This window comes from Homo sapiens, chromosome X (genome assembly GCF_000001405.40).
Source record: "Homo sapiens chromosome X, GRCh38.p14 Primary Assembly".
NCBI classification, from domain to species: Eukaryota; Metazoa; Chordata; class Mammalia; order Primates; family Hominidae; genus Homo; species Homo sapiens.
The window spans coordinates 21,853,997-21,872,315 of NC_000023.11; the positions used below are offsets into that span (position 1 = coordinate 21,853,997).

Consider the following 18,319-nt stretch of genomic DNA (forward strand, 5'->3'; position numbering starts at 1 on the left):
CACAACCCTGCATCACTTTTAATGGAATAACTGAGGCTAAGCAAGTGTGGAGTTAGAATTCTCAAACTAACAACGACAACAACAACAAAAAAAACCTGAAGGTGGGAAAAACAAAAACGGGAAATATAAATACTAATTTCCTCAACTTCATAGTGGAGAGGACATCTGCCTGAACCTGATAAATCAAGAAATAGAGGCTTGAGTATATCACTTAAGATTATAAATGTAAATACTACAAGATCTAAAAACACACATAAACTTTTCAAGTTATCACAGTGAAAGCATGAAACACAGACCAAAGAAAACAGACCCTATATCAAAAGATAAACCATGGTAATGAATTTAAGACCAAAACACATTTATTTTGTCAATAAACATAAATGAAATAAGCTCACCTACTGAAAGAAAGATGCCCTTAGTTTGTATTTAAAACATGTCCCAAATATGTGATGTACAAAATAAATCTGTGTAAATAATTACTCAAAAATAATGAAAGTAAAATGATGAGCAGAACATAACATGCAAATGGGAACAGAAAATAAGACCAAAAGCATTATATTAGACATTGGGGGCCATTTAACAATAATAAGGAATATAAGCCACAATGAAAATATAACAGTTGTGAATCTTACTGTATCAAGTAACAAACCATCAAAGCAAAACAAAAATGGGAAAAGTATAAGAAGAAACAGGTAATAAAAAGACTCACGCTTTAATACATGGCAGATAAGTATAAAAAAGTTAGGCTAAGGTAAAAATAGGTATGTCAAACTCTATACCGTGAACACAGAAGACAATATTTTTTCAAGTGCCCATGGGACTTAAAGTCACAGTAAATTCCCAAGAGAAGACTAGCAAACTAAGTAAAAACTACCTGAAATTTAGAAATTTATCTTAATCACACCTTGGATCAATTTAATTCAAACCTGTGATTTCAGTAGATCTAAAAATTATGATGATGAAATCATTTTACTGAGATAATGTTTAAAGTTTTGCTAAAAGAAAAATGCACTGCCTTAGGCAGTCATGCAAATACAAATGGAAATAGATTAGTTGAGTATTAAACTTAAGTGAGAAAAGAACTGTAAAATAATTAAGAAATGATGACGTAATTAGTAAGGATATAGGCAGAAAATAATAAATTAGAAAAAACAAAACTAGATCTGCTAAATCCAAGAGCTCTTAAAAAAAAATCAAAGGTCGAACAATGAGAAAAAGCATCTAAAGACAATTAGCAATCAGATTGGGGAATGACAATTGATAACAGAGAAAATAAAAACAATTATAAGTGTTGTTTGCTCATCTCCACAAAAAAAATTTCAAAACCCTGTATAAATATAAGAAAATAAAAATAGCTGAAATTAACCCAAGAGGCAATCAAAAAAATCTAAATAGGCAAATAATTACAATGGGAGAAATTAAGAAAGTTGATAAAGAACGCCCTTTTTCTTTTGAGATGGAGTCTCGCTGTGTTGCCCAGGCTGTAGTGCAGCGGCATGATCTAGGCTCACTGCAACCTCTGCCTCCCAGGTTGAAGCGATTCTCCTGCCTCAGCCTCCCGAGTAGCTAGGATTACAGGCACGAGCCACCACGCCCAGCTAATTTTTGTATTTTTAGTAGAGAAGGGGTTTTGCCATGTTGGCTAGGCTGGTCTCAAACTCCTGACCTCAAGTGACCCTCCTGCCTCGGCCTCCCAAAGTGCTGGGATTACAGGTGTGGGATTGCTGTGCCCGGCCCAGCTACTCTGGAGGCTGAAGCAGGAGAATCACTCGAACCCAGGAGGCGGAGGTTGCAGTGAGCCGAGATCGCGCGCCACTGCACTCCAGCCTGGGCGACGGAGCGAGACTCCGTCTCAAAAAAAAAAAAAAATCCTTAGTAAAAGTAGGAATAGCTGCATACATCATAATAGCACAACACTTTGCATTCCTATTAAAGGACAAGACAAATTCTACTATCAACTATTACTGATATTAAATGTCGTATTAGTGCAATTAAATAAGAGAAAAAAGCATAAAAGGAGTAGGCTTTTTTGGCAGATACTGTTATATGGGATGGACAGGAGGGGAAGACATGAAAATCAACTAAAATGAAATACATAAAAAATCAGTAAAGAGCCTGCTTACGAAAGTGGAAAAACAACAGCTGGGCGGGGTCGCAGGGTGGCAAACGTACGCGGGCACGTGCACGTGCTTTTGGGGCCGACAGACGCGCCAGTTGCCTAGGCGCATGCGTCTGGCTATCCCAGAAGCACCTGCGCCTTCCGGCTCGTGCTTTCCTCAGTCTCGCGCCTTTCTCTGCAGCTCGCGCCTTTCTCTGCAGCTCGCGCCTTTCTCTGCAGCTCGCGCCTTTCTCTGCAGCTCGCGCCTTTCTCTGCAGCTCGCCCCTTCCTCTGCAGCTCGCCCCTTCCTCTGCAGCTCCCACCTCACTCCCCTCAGCGTTCTTTTTCCCACGGTCTTCCCGTTGCCGCTAACCTAACTAACTCTCAGCCATGGCCTCCAACGAAGATTTCTCCATCACACAAGACCTGGAGATCCCGGCAGATATTGTGGAGCTCCACGACATCAATGTGGAGCCCCTTCCTATGGAGGACATTCCGACGGAAAGCGTCCAGTACGAGGATGTGGATGGCAATTGGATCTACGGTGGCCACAACCATCCGCCATTGATGGTGTTGCAGCCGCTCTTCACGAACACGGGCTATGGCGACCACGACCAGGAAATGCTTATGTTGCAGACACAAGAGGAAGTGGTGGGCTATTGCGACTCAGACAACCAGCTAGGCAACGACTTGGAGGACCAGTTGGCCCTCCCGGATAGCATTGAAGACGAGCACTTCCAGATGACCCTGGCCTCTCTGTCGGCCTCGGCGGCATCAACATCAACATCAACCCAGAGCCGCAGCAAAAAGCCCAGCAAAAAGCCCAGCGGCAAGAGTGCCACCAGCACTGAGGCCAACCCGGCAGGCAGCAGCTCCAGCCTGGGCACGAGGAAGTGGGAGCAGAAGCAAATGCAGGTCAAAACGCTGGAGGGTGAGTTTTCCGTGACTATGTGGTCCCCTAACGATAACAATGACCAAGGGGCAGTGGGTGAAGGCCAGGCTGAAAACCCACCTGATTATTCCGAGTACTTGAAAGGGAAGAAACTTCCTCCTGGGGGGTTACCAGGCATTGATCTCTCAGATCCTAAACAGCTGGCAGAATTTACTAAAGTGAAGCCCAAAAGGTCCAAAGGAGAACCTCCCAAAACAGTCCCTTGCTCTTATAGCGGCTGCGAAAAGATGTTCCGGGATTACGCCGCCATGAGAAAACATCTCCACATCCACGGGCCCAGAGTCCACGTATGTGCAGAATGTGGCAAAGCTTTTCTTGAGAGCTCAAAGCTGAGACGACACCAGCTGGTCCACACCGGCGAGAAGCCCTTTCAGTGCACATTCGAAGGCTGCGGGAAACGCTTTTCCCTTGATTTCAATTTGCGCACACACTTGCGCATCCACACCGGCGATAAGCCCTTCGTGTGCCCCTTCGATGTTTGCAACAGGAAGTTCGCTCAGTCAACCAACCTGAAAACCCACATATTAACGCATGTGAAGACCAAAAACAACCCGTGAAAAGGAGAAGACCCCTCTCAGACTTGGGAATTATCTTCCAGGACTGCGGTAGGGAATAAATATGCCTCTCAAAGCTTTGTATGTTGTTTCTAAGAGTTTTAAAAAAAAATGAATCCTGCACATTTAAGGTTCGTGTTTTGTTAGAGTAGTAAAAATAGAATTTAAACGTTTTTAAAAAGGTAAACCTTGACATAAGATAATAGTGCTAAGATGCCATAGCTTGTTCTGTAACTATTTTTGTAAAGTTTGGTCCCAACAGGAGAAAAATTCGTAGACTTCACATCAAGAGACGGTTCTTACAAACTGTTTAAAATGGGACTTTTCACATTCTTAGAAATAGGAAGTTCATTTATTGTTTACAATGTTTTTAAAAAACTTGTTAAAAAATTCAAAGTGTTCATGTTTATACTTTTAGGAATATGCTTAATAAGTCTATGTATGGTTTTTCTGGAGGTTGATAACTTTGGGAAAGATTTACTTTAAAAGAGTGAACAATTATATGCATACGTGAAGTATTTTCCTGCTTAAAAAAGTTATATAGGTGTTATTTGTTTTAATCTTGGTTGTAGTCTTGGATGTTAACACATCTTGCATTTTAGCTGTATTAGGTCATGTAGTATTGATATTAGGTGATTTAATAGTACTAGTTTAAACCTATTTTAGTCATTTTATTTTCCCCAAAATACTACCAGATGCTGTTGTTTAGTGTAATTTCTTTGCCTGTTCAGTTAAAGTAGTGCTTGCTTGTAGAATATATTGTGTATATGTTGACTTTAACACTTAAGAAGTACATCCTGTGTAATAGAAAAAGCAAAATAAAACACCTCTTCTAAAGAAGGAAAAAAGTAGTTTGCCTATATCAGTACAGAAGTTAGAACTAAAGAAAAGGGGGAGGGTGCTACTGGCATCTGGTGAGTGGAGGGAGATCAGGAATGCCACTAAACATCCTACAATGCACAGACAGCCCCACGAAACACATAATTATTTGGCTAAAATGCCAATAGTGTCAGGTGCAGGGGCTCAGGCCTGTAATGTCAACACTTTGGGAGGCCGAGGTGGGTGGATCGTTTGAGCTCAGGAATTGAACATCAGCCTGGGCAACATGGCATAACTCGGTCTCTACCAAAAATAAAAAAATTAGCTGAGTGTGGGGCGCACACCTGTGGTCCTAGCTACTCAGGAGGCTGAGATGGGAGGATCACTGGAGCTGGGGAAGTCGAGGCTGCGGTGAGCCGTGATCGAGCCACTGCACTCCAGCCTAGGTGACAGAGTAAGACCTTGTGTCAAAAAAAAAAAAAAAAAAGAGAAAAAGGGGCAGAGGGGCTGGGCGCAGGGCTCCTGCTTGTAATCCCAGCACTGTGAGAGGCTGAGGTGGGTGGATCACTTAAGGTCAGGAGTTCAAGACCAGCCTGTCCAACATGGTGAAACCATCCCCCGGCTACTTAAAAATACAAAAATTAGCCATAGACTTCGTAGACTTCACATCAAGAGACAGTTCTTACAAACTGTGTTTAAAATGGGACTTTTCACATTCTTAGAAATAGGAAGTTCATTTATTGTTTACAATTTTTTTTTTAAATTGTAAAAAAATTCAAAATGTTCATGTTTATACTTTTAGGAATATGCTTAATAAGTCTATGTATGGTTTTTCTGGAGGTTGATAACTTTGGGAAAGATTTACTTTAAAAGAGTGAACAATTATATGCATACGTGAAGTATTTTCCTGCTTAAAAAAGTTATATAGGTGTTATTTGTTTTAATCTTGGTTGTATTATTAGATGTTAACACATCTTGCATTTTAGCTGTATTAGGTCATGTAGTATTGATATTAGGTGATTTAATAGTACTAGTTTAAACCTATTTTAGTCATTTTATTTTCCCCAAAATACTACCAGATGCTGTTGTTTAGTGTAATTTCTTTGCCTGTTCAGTTAAAGTAGTGCTTGCTTGTAGAATATATTGTGTATATGTTGACTTTAACACTTAAGAAGTACATCCTGTGTAATAGAAAAAGCAAAATAAAACACCTCTTCTAAAGAAAGAAAAAAGTAGTTTGCCTATGTCAATACAGAAGCTAGAACTAAAGAAAAAGGGGAGGGTGCTACTGGCATCTGGTGGGTGGAGGGAGATCAGAAATGCCACTAAACATCCTACAATGCGCAGACAGCCCCACGAAGCACATAATTATTTGGCCAAAATGCCAATAGTGCCAGGTGCAGGGGCTCATGCCTGTAATGTCAACACTTTGGAAGGCCAAGGTGGGTGGATCGTTTGAGCTCAGGAGTTGGACATCAGCCTGGGCAACATGGCATAACTCGGTCTCTACCAAAAATAAAAAAATTAGCTGAGTGTGGGGCGCACACCTGTGGTCCTAGCTACTCAGGAGGCTGAGATGGGAGGATCACTGGAGCTGGGGAAGTCGAGGCTGCGGTGAGCCGTGATCGAGCCACTGCACTCCAGCCTAGGTGACAGAGTAAGACCTTGTGTCAAAAAAAAAAAAAAAAAGAGAAAAAGGGGCAGAGGGGCTGGGCGCAGGGCTCCTGCCTGTAATCCCAGCACTGTGAGAGGCTGAGGTGGGTGGATCACTTAAGGTCAGGAGTTCAAGACCAGCCTGTCCAACATGGTGAAACCATCCCCCGGCTACTTAAAAATACAAAAATTAGCTGGGGTTGCTGGCATAGCACCTGTAATTCCAGCTACTTGGGAGGCTGAGGCAGGAGAATCGCTTGAACCCAGGAGGTGGAGGTTGCAGTGAGCTGAGAGAGTGCCACTGCACTCCAGCCGGGGTAACAGAGTGAGACTCCGTCTCAAAAAAAATAAAGTAAATGCCAATAGTGTCCCTGTTAAGAAACCCTGCTGTAGAAAAAGTAAAAGTTTATAAGAAAGATTCCAGAGGTTTGCAGTACTTATAATCCAATCATTAATGGGCAAGAGGTTGTTCAGATGAAAGAAATGTTTGTGCTCCACCACCCTCATTGCCGCTTAACCAGCATGGGTAAATCCAGAATCAGAGGGGTGATCTGGTACTAGCTACATGCCTGACGAGATAAGAGACTACACAAATAGTCAAGGAATCAGTGCTGCTGAGTGTCCCGGCTTTTACTCATTTGTTCATGTCTTGTTTCTGTGACTAGCAACTGAGCTGGGGTTGGGGGGAATTCATAGTAGTATCCTAAATTAGTTTCCCCAGAGTAAATTACTGTGCATCAAAGGATTAGGTTTTTTAAATTTTGTTTTAATTTTGTTAAGGAAGCTATGAAAGCAGTACAAGAAAACACAAGTGAATATCTTTTATAATCTTGAGGTGGAAAAGGCTTAGTACAAGGAACTATTTGATCACACAAAAATTTAAAGTATCTGTACAGGCAAAACAACAAACCACATCAAACAACAAACTGGAAAGATAAAATTATAATACCTGTTACAAAGGACCAAATTCCTCCCTATATAGATTATAAATAATAGCATATACAAATTAGTAAATTAATAAGACAACTCAATCAAAAAATGGCAATGGATAGAAATAAGTAGCTCTTAAGAAAATGGGCTTTAATTTTTCACCCAGAAGACTGGCAAAGAGTAAAATTATGATAGCATCCAGTGTCATTCAGAGAGTGGAAAAATGTCAATTATGAGAGTATAAATTAATTCAATAATGCAAACTCATTGGAGGTCAGCTTTAATGTTCATATTTTTTGACCCAACATTTCCATTTCTAGGTAATTTTTCATACCCTTGCAGATGCATACTTAACTGGACGCCTAACATTATAAGCAAAGCTGTGTATTGCAGTATTATATGAAAAGGTTAAAACACCCTAAGTGATTAATAGTAGGATACCTTATAAATAAGTTGATATGTTAATAAAAATGGATTACTCTGTAGCAGATATAATGAGATTGATATTTATGAACAGATATGGAAAAATGTCAAAAATATATAAATTTAAAAGCAAATAGGGTGTGATGGCTCACACCTGTAATCCCAAATTTTAGGAGGCTGAGGTGGGAGGATCACTTCAGGAGTTCAAGGCTGCCATGAGCTGTGATCACAGCACTGCACTCCAACCTGGGCAATAGAGCGAGACTGTCTCTTTAAAAAAAACAAACAAAAAAAAACACGAAAAAGCAAAATATAGTATAATAATTTGATACCATTGGTATTTTTAAATGATGTATCTGTATATAATAGAAAAGATCATTTACCTGATAAGTCCTAGACCATACTTTGTCTGGCTATTTCTGGAATTTAATAATTTACAACACTTTAAAAATTTTAAAAGGAACATTTTACAATGTGAATTCATTACTTGGAACATGTGTTAGCTAGGTATTTGGCTGCTCTAATAACTAAAAATAAGTGGCATAAACTTTCAAAACATTCCAAATATAAGTAGTTCAGTGTTGATCGGATAACTCTGTAATTTGGGTACACAGGTTCTGTCTTGTTAGCTCTGCTATTCCCAACATGCAGCTTCTGTGTCGTGGACCTAAATCCAGCTCCATCATAGCTACATTACAGCCCACAGTACAGGGTTGTCTCCATCACATCCTGGTGCTAGTAGTGCCCATACCCCGCCCCATAAGGAAAACTGCAATAGGAAAAGGGAAGACTAGGTATGGGGGAAGGGGTTATCTAGTGGCGTGTTAAGTGAATGTTTAACATCTGGCTCTGCAGGGCTAAGGTAGGGAGCTCTGATGGTAGCATTTGCTGGTTTCTGTGGTGTAAATACTTGCACCGTGGTCAGTTTCAAGCTGCAAACCTGCACTTCCTGAAGGAGGAATTAGGAAGAAATGCACACAATTAACTCTGGCAAGCTGGTAGGAGCAGGCTTCAGAGAACCACTGGGTTCATATAACCATATCTGCCATAGGATAGGATATAAGATGCTAAGGGGAAAAAAAGAGTTTAAAAAATATAGGCCTGGTGCGGTGGCTCACGTGAGCCTGTAATCCCAGCACTTTGGGAGGCCGAGGCGGGCGGATCACGAGGTCAGGAGATGGAGACCATCCTGGCTAACACGGTGAAACCACCCGTCTCTACTAAAAACAAAAAAAATTAGCCGGGCGTGGTGGGGGGCGCCTGTAGTCCCAGCTACTCTGGAGGCTGAGGCGGGAGAATGGCGTGAACCCGGGAGGCGGAGCTTGCAGTGAGCCGAGATTGCGCCACTGCACTCCAGCCTGGGCGACAGAACGAGACTCCGTCTCAAAAAACAAAAAACATATATATATAAAAAACATATATATATATACACATATATATAAACATATATAAATATATATACACATATATATAAACATATATAAATATATAAACATATATATATAAACATATATATATATATATATATATATATATATATATAAAACCGACTGGGCGCGGTGGCTCACGCCTGTAATCCCAGCACTTTGGGAGGCGGAGGTGGGAGGATGGCTTGAGCTCAGGAGTTCAAGACCAGCCTGAGCAAAATGGTGAAACCCCTGTCTCTAGAAAAAAAAACACACACACTAAAAAACTAGCCGAGCATGCTGGCACGCGCCTGTAGTCCCAGCTACTTAGGACACTGAGTCAGGAGTGTTGCTTGAGCCCAGGAGGCGGAGGTTTCAGTGAGCCGAGATCACGCCGTTGCACTCCAGCCTGGGCGACAGTGAGACTGTCTCAAAAAAAAAAAAAAAAAATTAAATTTAAAAAAAAATTAAAAACTATAAAACTGTCTTGAAAAAGTTATTAGAAAACTTGCTGCTTTGTACTCTTGAGTAAATTATTAAAATTATTACACATGTATACTCATATACATGCTGATGTGGGCAGAGAAAATCTGGAGTAATGGAAAATGATAACAGTATGCTTACTGTGAGTCATGGGGCTGGTGGTTGAGAAATGGTATTTGGGAAAGATGACTTTTTATTACTTCTATATTGTTTGGAATTTTTATAGTCAGTGTGTATTTTTTAGTAATTTTTTAAAAGCCAATTGAACATTTTTAAATTAATTTCATATTAGGGTTAAAATGTACTGAGACTTCTTTTTCCTTAAAATTGACACCTAATGTCCAAAACTAAGACTAAAGAAGGTTATATATATCCCCACCAATAATTGGGTCCACGCACCTCTTTCAGAGCTTATTAAATGGTATAGAACTAACTAGTCCCGCTATCCCAAACATCACCTAGCCCATTAACTTCTCATTCCCAGTTGTGAGTTGTCAGCCTAGTAGACAGCTGAACAGCTTTGCCCTGCCGTCTTTCCCAGGCAAGGGGGCAAGGTTAGGGGTGGGGAGGAGATGCTTATCTTGCCCTGAATTCAAGACAGGACAAATTCAAAGATCTGGAATTGTCTCTAAAAAGAAGAGTTTAGTATCCCTGCTAAATGTTTGCTGAGCTGTGAGCTCACCGTGGTGTAGCCATCAAAGTGGAAGACAACGTGGGAAACCTGTGTGTTCCTCAAAGTTTAGGGATGTACATAAATTATGTATTTAGAGGGAGAGAGAAATATGTGTGTACCCTCTGCCTACTTTATTGGTTTTAAATTTAGGAATATAATTTCATTGCTTCTAAAATGTCTTCCCACTTCCATGTAAAAAGTCCAGGGTGTCATTTAAATCTAGTTTTTTGTTTTGTTTTGTTTTGTTTTTTGTTTGTTTGTTTGAGACGGAGTTTTGCTCTTGTTGCCCAGGCTGGAGTGCAATGGCACGATCTTGGCTCACTGCAACCTCCGCCTCCTGAGTTCAAGTGGTTCTCCTGCCTCAGCCTCCGAAGTAGCTGGGATTACAGGCACCTGCCACCACACCCAGCTAATTTTTTATGTTTTTTTAGAGATGGGGTTTCACCACGTTGGCCAGGCTGGTCTCGAACTCCTGACCACAGGTGATCCACCCGCCTCAGCCTCCCAATAAATCTAGTTTTATAATGCTACTTTTAAAGAGTTGCATATATAGGCCAGGTGTGGTGACTCACGCCTTTAATCCCAACACTTTGGGAGGCTGAGGTGGGCAGGTTACTTGAGCTCAGAAGTTTGAGACCAGCCTGGGCAACATGGCAAGATTCCGTCTCTACTAAAAATACAAAAAATTAGCTGAGCATGGTGGTGCATGCCTGTGGTCCCAGCTACTCAGGAGGCTGAGGTGGGAGGATGGCTTGAGCCTGGGGGGCAGAGGTTGCAGTGAGCAGAGATTGTACCACTGCACTCCAGCTGGATGACAGAGTGAGAACTCTGTTTCAAAAGCAAAATAAGTTGTATATGTAATAGGTTTTTTTCTTTTTTTCTTTCTTTCTTTCTTTTTTTTTTTTTTTTCTGAGACAGGATATCACCCTGTCACCCAGGCTGAAGGGCAGTGGTACAATCACCGCTCACTGCAGCCTCGACCTCCTGGGTTCAAGTGATCATCCCACTTCTCAGTCTCCCAAGTCGCTGGCACCACAGGTGTGCACCACCACACCCAGCTAATTTTTGTATTTTTTGTAGAGAGGCGGGTCTTGCCATGTTGCCCAGGCTGGTCTCAAACTCCTGGGTTCAAGAGATACAACCACCTCGGCCTCCCAAAGTGCTGGGATTACAGGCATGAGCTAGAGCTACCACACGGGGCTATTTCTTTAAAAAAAAAAAAATGAAATATATACTGATTTTGAAAAGAAAAAGCCACTAAACATCTGTCTGAAATTTGGTGGGGAAAAAAGAGAGATGAGATGAGATACTTCCTGAGCACACTGTAAATGAAGATGTTTAAATTTTGAATTATGGTGTATAGAATTTTTAGAAGAGGGATTAAACAATACCTGCTATCTGGTTCCAAGTGAAGAGTAGATTGCTTTAAAAAAATTCTCTATGCTTTGTTGCTAAAAATTCCTTTATAAATAGTGGAAGTAAAATTTGACCATTCTGTTTCTATACTTAAATGTTTTTAAATCCTTCTTAAATATTGAAAACCCTGTTCTTATTTGTATAAGCCAGTTGTAAGTTTATTTGAGGGCAAAGTAAAAAACATTGGTGATAAAAGTGATGTTGTGATTATAGTAAGCTGGAATTTAAACTTAGAACACAGTGTAAGCCTTGCCAAATTGATAGTTTACATTCTTTCAGCTATAACTACTGTGAGTTATTCAAGGAATATTGAGTTGTTATTTTACCTATTCAGTCATCTGGTGACCTGTAAATCATTTCTGTGTGTTTAGAGAATTAAGGTAGTTGTGGTTTTTTTTTATTATTATTTGCAAACCACACTAAGCATAAGTAGGGCTTGATTGGGGTAGCCCTTAGCCCCCGCTTAATAATAATCACCAGCTTCAAGTCTATGGGTATCTTGCTGCCTTGATGACAACTATAGATTTTCTTCTCCCTTGACCCATGATTTTTGTTTGTTTGTTTGTTTTGTTTTTTTGTTTCTTTGAGACAGAGTATCTTTCTGTCACCCAGGCTGGTCTCAAACTCCTGGTCTCAAGTGATCTGCCCACCTCAGCCTCCCAAAATGCTGGGATTACAGGCATGAGCCACCGTGCCCGGCCCCATGATATTTTTAAACCCTGAGTCTCCCATATTCTGATTTTTCTACTGTTGCCCCAGTCTCATTGCTTAGTATATAAACCAGAATAAAATTGATCCTCAATTCCATCTAAGTCCTACTGTTTCTTGGCTGTTGTTTTATTAAAATCATGAAGAAAGCAAAAAAGGCATTCCATCACAACTATTGAAAAGTGTTCTAGAAGTTACAGTCATTGCTATAAGACCAAACAGGAAGGAAAAGATGAGGTATGAATGTTGGAGGAGATAAATGATTATTATTAGCAAATAATGGAAAATCCAAGAGAATAAAGACTAAGACATCCTAAATGGAAAGTTCAGTTTGGTGATTAATTACAAAGTAAATATACAAAAATAAATGTAGTATTCCTGTGTATCTGAAAGAAACAGATCATGTAATAGGAAGAAAAGATCTCATTCAGAAAGTAATGTGACATATAAAAAATAAAAAACTAACATTTTAAAAGAAGTACACAGGGCCTATATAGAGAAACTACAAATCTGTACTGAGAGATGTAGAAGATTTCAGTAAACAGATGTCGTGTTCCTATGTCAGAAATGTAAAATTATGGATTTACCCCTAGTTATTGCAGTCATTGCAGTGACATTAGAAATCCTAATGTGGGCCAGGCGTAGTGGCTCACACCTGTAATCCTAGCGCTTTGGGAGGCCGAGGTGGGCGGATCACTTGAGGTCAGGAGTTCAAAACCAGTCTGGCCAACATGGTGAAACCCTGTCTCTACTAAAACTACAAAAAAATTAGCCGGGCGTGGTGGTGGGCGCCTGTAATCCCAGCTACTCGGGAGGCTGAGGCAGGTGAATCACTTGAACCCAGGAGGCAGAGGTTGCAGTTAGCTGAGATCTCGCCACTGGGCAACAGAGCGTGACTCTGTCTCAAAAAAAAAAAAAAAGAAAAAAAGAAAAAAAATCCTAATTTGAATAATATTTGGTGGTTGTCAAAATGATTCTCAAATTTATCAGAAAGGATAAGGGGAGAATAACCAAAATAAACAAATTGAAAGTATTTATTTACTAAATACTGAAATATTACTACCAGCAACAGCTTTATTGTCACTGGAATAGTGGAAAAGAATGGAAATTCCAGAAGCAAGCCAAAGAATAGATGAAAATGTATTGTAAATTAAAAGTTGCATTTAATTTAGTAGGGAAAGAATGCACTGCTCAGTAATTATTAGCTAAACATTTGAATAAAATTAGTTATATGTATCAGTCACACCATACACAAAAATAAATTCCAAATGGTAAAAGATTTAAATGTAAAAATCACACACATACACAAAAATAAATTCCAAATGGTAAGAGATTTAAATGTAAAAATAAAACTATTTAAACCATCCTTCTCCACAAAAAGAGTGATTACTTACATAATGTTAGGGGCGAGAAAGTCTTCCTTTGCACAGCTGCAAAGGTTGAATATATAATGGAAAAGATTAATGAATTTGAGTACCTAAATTTTAGGGTTTAAAAAAAAATAATAAAGACGGTTTTCTCTTTTTTTTTTTTTTTTTGAGACGGAGTCCTGCTCTGTGCTATGTCACCCAGGCTGGAGCGCAGTGGCACGATCTCAGCTCACTGTAGTCTCCGCTTCCCGGGTTCAAGCAATTCTCCAGCCTCAGCCTCACAAGCAACTGGGACTACAGACGCGCGCCACCATGCCTGGCTAATTTTTTTGTATTTTTAGTAGAGACAGGGTTTCACCATGTTGGCCAAGCTGGTGTTGATCTCCTGACCTCGTGATCCGCCCGCCCTGGCCTCCCAAAGTGCTGGGATTACAGGCGTGAGCCACCGTGCCTGGCCGACAGTTTTCTTATGGTTTGTTGCTTTATAGTCTGTGACGTGATGTAAAATATATGCTCGGTTTGTTCCACCAATATTGTTCTGCATAATAGTTTAGTTCTTAAAACAACCTCCTTTTTCCAAGTACCATTTGAGTTTCTGTACCCCTGTTTAGCAAGAGTTTTTTTTATTTGAATGTATATGAGGTTTCTTTCAAAGATCACAAATATGTTTAAATTAGTGATATATACATTTTCTGAAAAGAGAGTATAATTAGTGGAAGATATTAGTTCTATCAGTATCAAATCATGTTAGCATGTGGTCTTCCTAGTGTGGTATTAACATGCCCATTTTAGATTTCAATATCTAAAATGAAAGTAACTAATAATTGAACATCTGTCTGCTCTACTAATAAGTAGATATTTTTGCCTCATTGCTTCTTCTGATCACTTTATTAATTTATCAGAATGCCCAAGTGTTGTGAGGTCCAGCTACTTATATCATTCCTGCCCCCGGTTGAGCTTATTGCTTTTTTTCCTCTCTTTCCAGGTATCTGGCATAATTTTGTCCTTGCACTCTTGGGTATTTTAGCTCTTGTTCTCCTCCCAGTAATTCTCTTGCCATTTTACTACACTGGAGTTGGGGTGCTCATCACTGAAGTTGCTGAGGTAAATAATGGATTACTCAGGGCATTCTTTCATCAGATGTTGTGATGTAATACCTAGCATCTATTCAGAAACTTTTATTCAAGATCTCTTCATATACAAAATGCTTAGTTTCTTCTGAAGAAATTACTGTAGTCCTCTCAAATCTAACAAATAATGTTGGGAAACACATTGGTTTTTTTAAAGTTTCATGAAAATTGTTTTTGTCCTGATGCTGTACTTAGGAAGATAGTATCAAGATTTTCTACCTGTAGTTTATTGGTAAAATGCATCATTTACCTTTTCTGTTTATTTTTATATCTCTGCTTTTGAGTCAAATGTCTTTACGCCTCCTAAGTAGTAAGAAAGATGAAACCTAGGCTGTCCAGCCGTAACATTTCATAGGAGTTTAAGTTAATGTCTTCAACTCTGTATTTCACTCCCTTAGACAATAACTGCTATGATGGCATCAAATCTTGTATTCAGACATTAGAAAGAGGAAAATTACCTTTGTGAGCAATTGGCTTACATATACATTGTACTGATGGTATTGCCTGCATATTGGGGATATGAAAGGATGTGTCTTATTGTTTTATGCGTTAAGGATATAGGAAAGGCAAGACAGTCTGATGATACTTTCACCAAAAAATTTTTAATTGGCAGTTTGGGAAAAAATTTTATCATTTTAGTCTTAACAGTCAGCAAGTCGGCTTTTTTTCAATTGTGAAAAATTCAAAATCTTGGAGAATTTGGGAAAAGCAACTATAATTGTTGGGTTTTATTTTAATTTTCTAGGACTATGTCTTGAATTCAAAGCTGGATTATTTTCTGCATTCAAACTATTCACTTAATTAACTCAGTGTCTTTATTATTTGCTCAGATTAATTATAGCTTGTCTTCATGCATTATCTGATTTGGTTTTACCCTCTTCCCAAGGACTCTCCTGCCATTGGACCCAGAGGCCTTTTTGTGGGAGACCTTGTCACCCATCTACAGGATTGTCCTGTTACTAATGTGCAAGATTGGAATGAATGTTTAGATACCATCGCCTATGAGCCCCAAATTGGTTACTGTATAAGTGCATCAACTTTACAGCAGTTAAGTTTCCCAGTTAGAGGTGTGTATATTTCCTCAATATAATATAATGCTTCAAGCACCAGTACCTGCCATTCACTAATCCTTAAACCATGTCTATACATTTATTCTGTTCTAATCTGTTTAAAGCAAATCAGTAAAGTAAATAGATTCCAACCAATAGACATTTTTCTTGGTAAGTTGGATGCTAATATGTGTTTCCTTTATTATATATTGTTGAACTTCTAACTATTTTCATTATATCATATTTAACTTTTAGGACTCTAATATTTTCTGCTTTCAAAACACTTGTATTAAATCATAGCCGGGCGCAGTGGCTCACGCCTGTAATCCCAGCACTTTGGGAGGCTGAGGCGGGCGGATCACTTGAGGTCAGGAGTTCATGACCAACCTGGCCAACATAGTGAAACCCCATCTCTACTAAAAATACAAAAATTAGCAGGGCATGGTGACGGGTGCCTGTGATTTCAGCTGCTCGGGAGTCTGAGGCAGGAGAATCGCTTGAACCCGGGAGGTGGAGGTTGCAATGAGCCGAGATCGGGACATGGAAAGAGACTCTGTCTCAAAAAAAAAAAAAAAAATCAGCATTCAAGGTCAATCATAACCAATTAACTAATTCCAATAATCAAATACCCCAATATAATATTATCTTTATGCATGTCTGTAGATATATTATAGTACTTTAAACTTTTATAATTGAAAAAGGGAATATAAGTAATAAGAACCGGTTCTACTTTGCATAAGCTTATGTCAGAACAGATAAACAACGATAGTTAACAACTAAATATATAAAAATCAAAGCATAAACATTCTGTATTAATATATTGTTAGCCCAACACAGACATGCAATAAGGAAAGATTACAAGAAATAAGAAGGAACTTGGCAAACAAAAAACCCCATCTGGGATTTAGAAAAAATTCCCTTACTTCTTAAAAATTCCCTTAATACTTAAACAGTTCTAGTGGAATCAGTGTTGGCATGTCTGATTCTATCTGGGGTAGAGTTATTTTATGTATTTTATGTGGCAGCCATCCTAAAGAAGTTGTCTTGGCTTCCAAAAATACCATGTGAAGTCAGATATGTTGCTCTGTGCAGCAGATGACAGAGCTGAGGCAAGTTTCTTCTCGGATCCTGCCAAACTTATTTAGAGTTATTTCAGCTCTGAAAAATCAGCTTCCCAATTCTTTATACAAAATCAGCTTCCCAATTCTTTATACAAAATTGGAGGTGTTAGAAAATAGAAATTATGCTCACAGACTATATCTTTAAGTAAAAAAATATCCTGATACTTGTCCACATCTATTGGTGTAGGGAAATATGATTAATAATCAAGAATAGTTTTAGTAAAGTACTGTGTGCAACACAGGCAAAGTAGTAAGAACTGATTTTTTTAAAAAAACTTTTTAAAATTTACTCATTTGTAAGAATTTTTTTATTATCAAAAATGTTTAGACACGATGGAGAATATATTTCCTCAATATAATATAATGCTTCAAGCACCAGTACCTGCCATTCACTAATCCTTAGACCATGTCTATAGATTTATTCTGTTCTAATCTGTTTAAAGTAAATCAGTAAAGTAAATAGATTCAAACCAATAGACATTTTTCTTGGTAAGTTGGATGCTAATATGTGTGTTTCCTTTATTATATATTGTTGAACTTCTAACTATTTTCATAATATCATATTTAACTTTTAGGACTCTAATATTTTCTAGTATAAACGAGCCCACATGTATCTTTCTGCCAGCTTCGGCAGTTATTAACATTTTGCCAATTTTTTCATCTAAGCAGTCCACTTTTAGGGGAAGTATTTTAAAGTACATCCCAGGCATCCTATCATTTCATCCATAACCTTTCAGCCTGCCTTTAACGGATGATGACTCATTAAACACGACCACAATACTGTTATAATTCCTAACAAAATAACACTAATTTCTGATATCTGGTTGGTATTCAGTTGTTTCTAATTCTTTTCATTATAGTTGATTTAAATTAGTTAGGATGTCTTCTAAGACTTTTTAAATTTGTAACAATTTTCCTTGACCTGTTTTTGAAATGTTATTTTTTTGTTGAAGAAACTGAGGCATTTGTTTTGTTGAATTTCCTAAATTCTGGGTTTTTCTGGTTATATCTTATCCTCATGATGTCATTAACTTGTTCAGATGTCTTCCAATTTTCTATAAACTGCTAATTAGGTCCATGGCGTTGATTAGATTCAGAATCCTTTTTTTTTGTTTGGGTTTTTTTTTTGGCAAAAACACTTCATAAACAGCGCTTGGTACTTCCTGTGGCATCATATTGCATCCAGTATCTATTGTTCTCTGTTTTAATGGTGTTAAGATTGTTCAGTGGAGCAATCTGATTCTTTAAGGTTGAAATATTTATAAATTTTCCCCATTCTCAGGAGCCTCTTACCATCTTCCAAAACTTTTAAGATGACAGAAGATTAATATGTAATCCACAATGTGTTCTTCTTTAAAGAAATGATCCATTATTTTCCACTTCTTAAGTCCTTTATCCTTTTCTTTTGGTTTCTCTAAATTTGATGTAATGTGTATTGAATTACAAAAACCAAAGTGACACACTAGTTAAATAAAGTTCTCTTCAGTAGGATTGTTTTACTTAGGATATCTGCATTTTCAGATGTTTAGGGTTT

At 38.6% G+C, this 18,319-nt stretch overlaps 2 protein-coding genes across 2 annotated transcripts in view; both read left to right on the forward strand.

The window, feature by feature from the left end:
• The window catches only part of MBTPS2 (membrane bound transcription factor peptidase, site 2), a 45,807-nt gene that overhangs the window by 14,380 nt on the left and 13,108 nt on the right, over positions 1–18,319 (forward strand). The window contains exons 6-7 of the mRNA NM_015884.4: positions 14,471–14,589; positions 15,502–15,682. Coding sequence (NP_056968.1) covers positions 14,471–14,589; positions 15,502–15,682 — 300 coding nt within the window. The remainder of the gene's footprint in view (positions 1–14,470; positions 14,590–15,501; positions 15,683–18,319) is intronic.
• YY2 (YY2 transcription factor) lies at positions 1,991–4,744 on the forward strand. The gene has a single exon (NM_206923.4). It carries the CDS (start codon positions 2,489–2,491, stop codon positions 3,605–3,607), a length of 1,119 nt encoding a protein of 372 aa, NP_996806.2. The 5' UTR covers positions 1,991–2,488; the 3' UTR covers positions 3,608–4,744.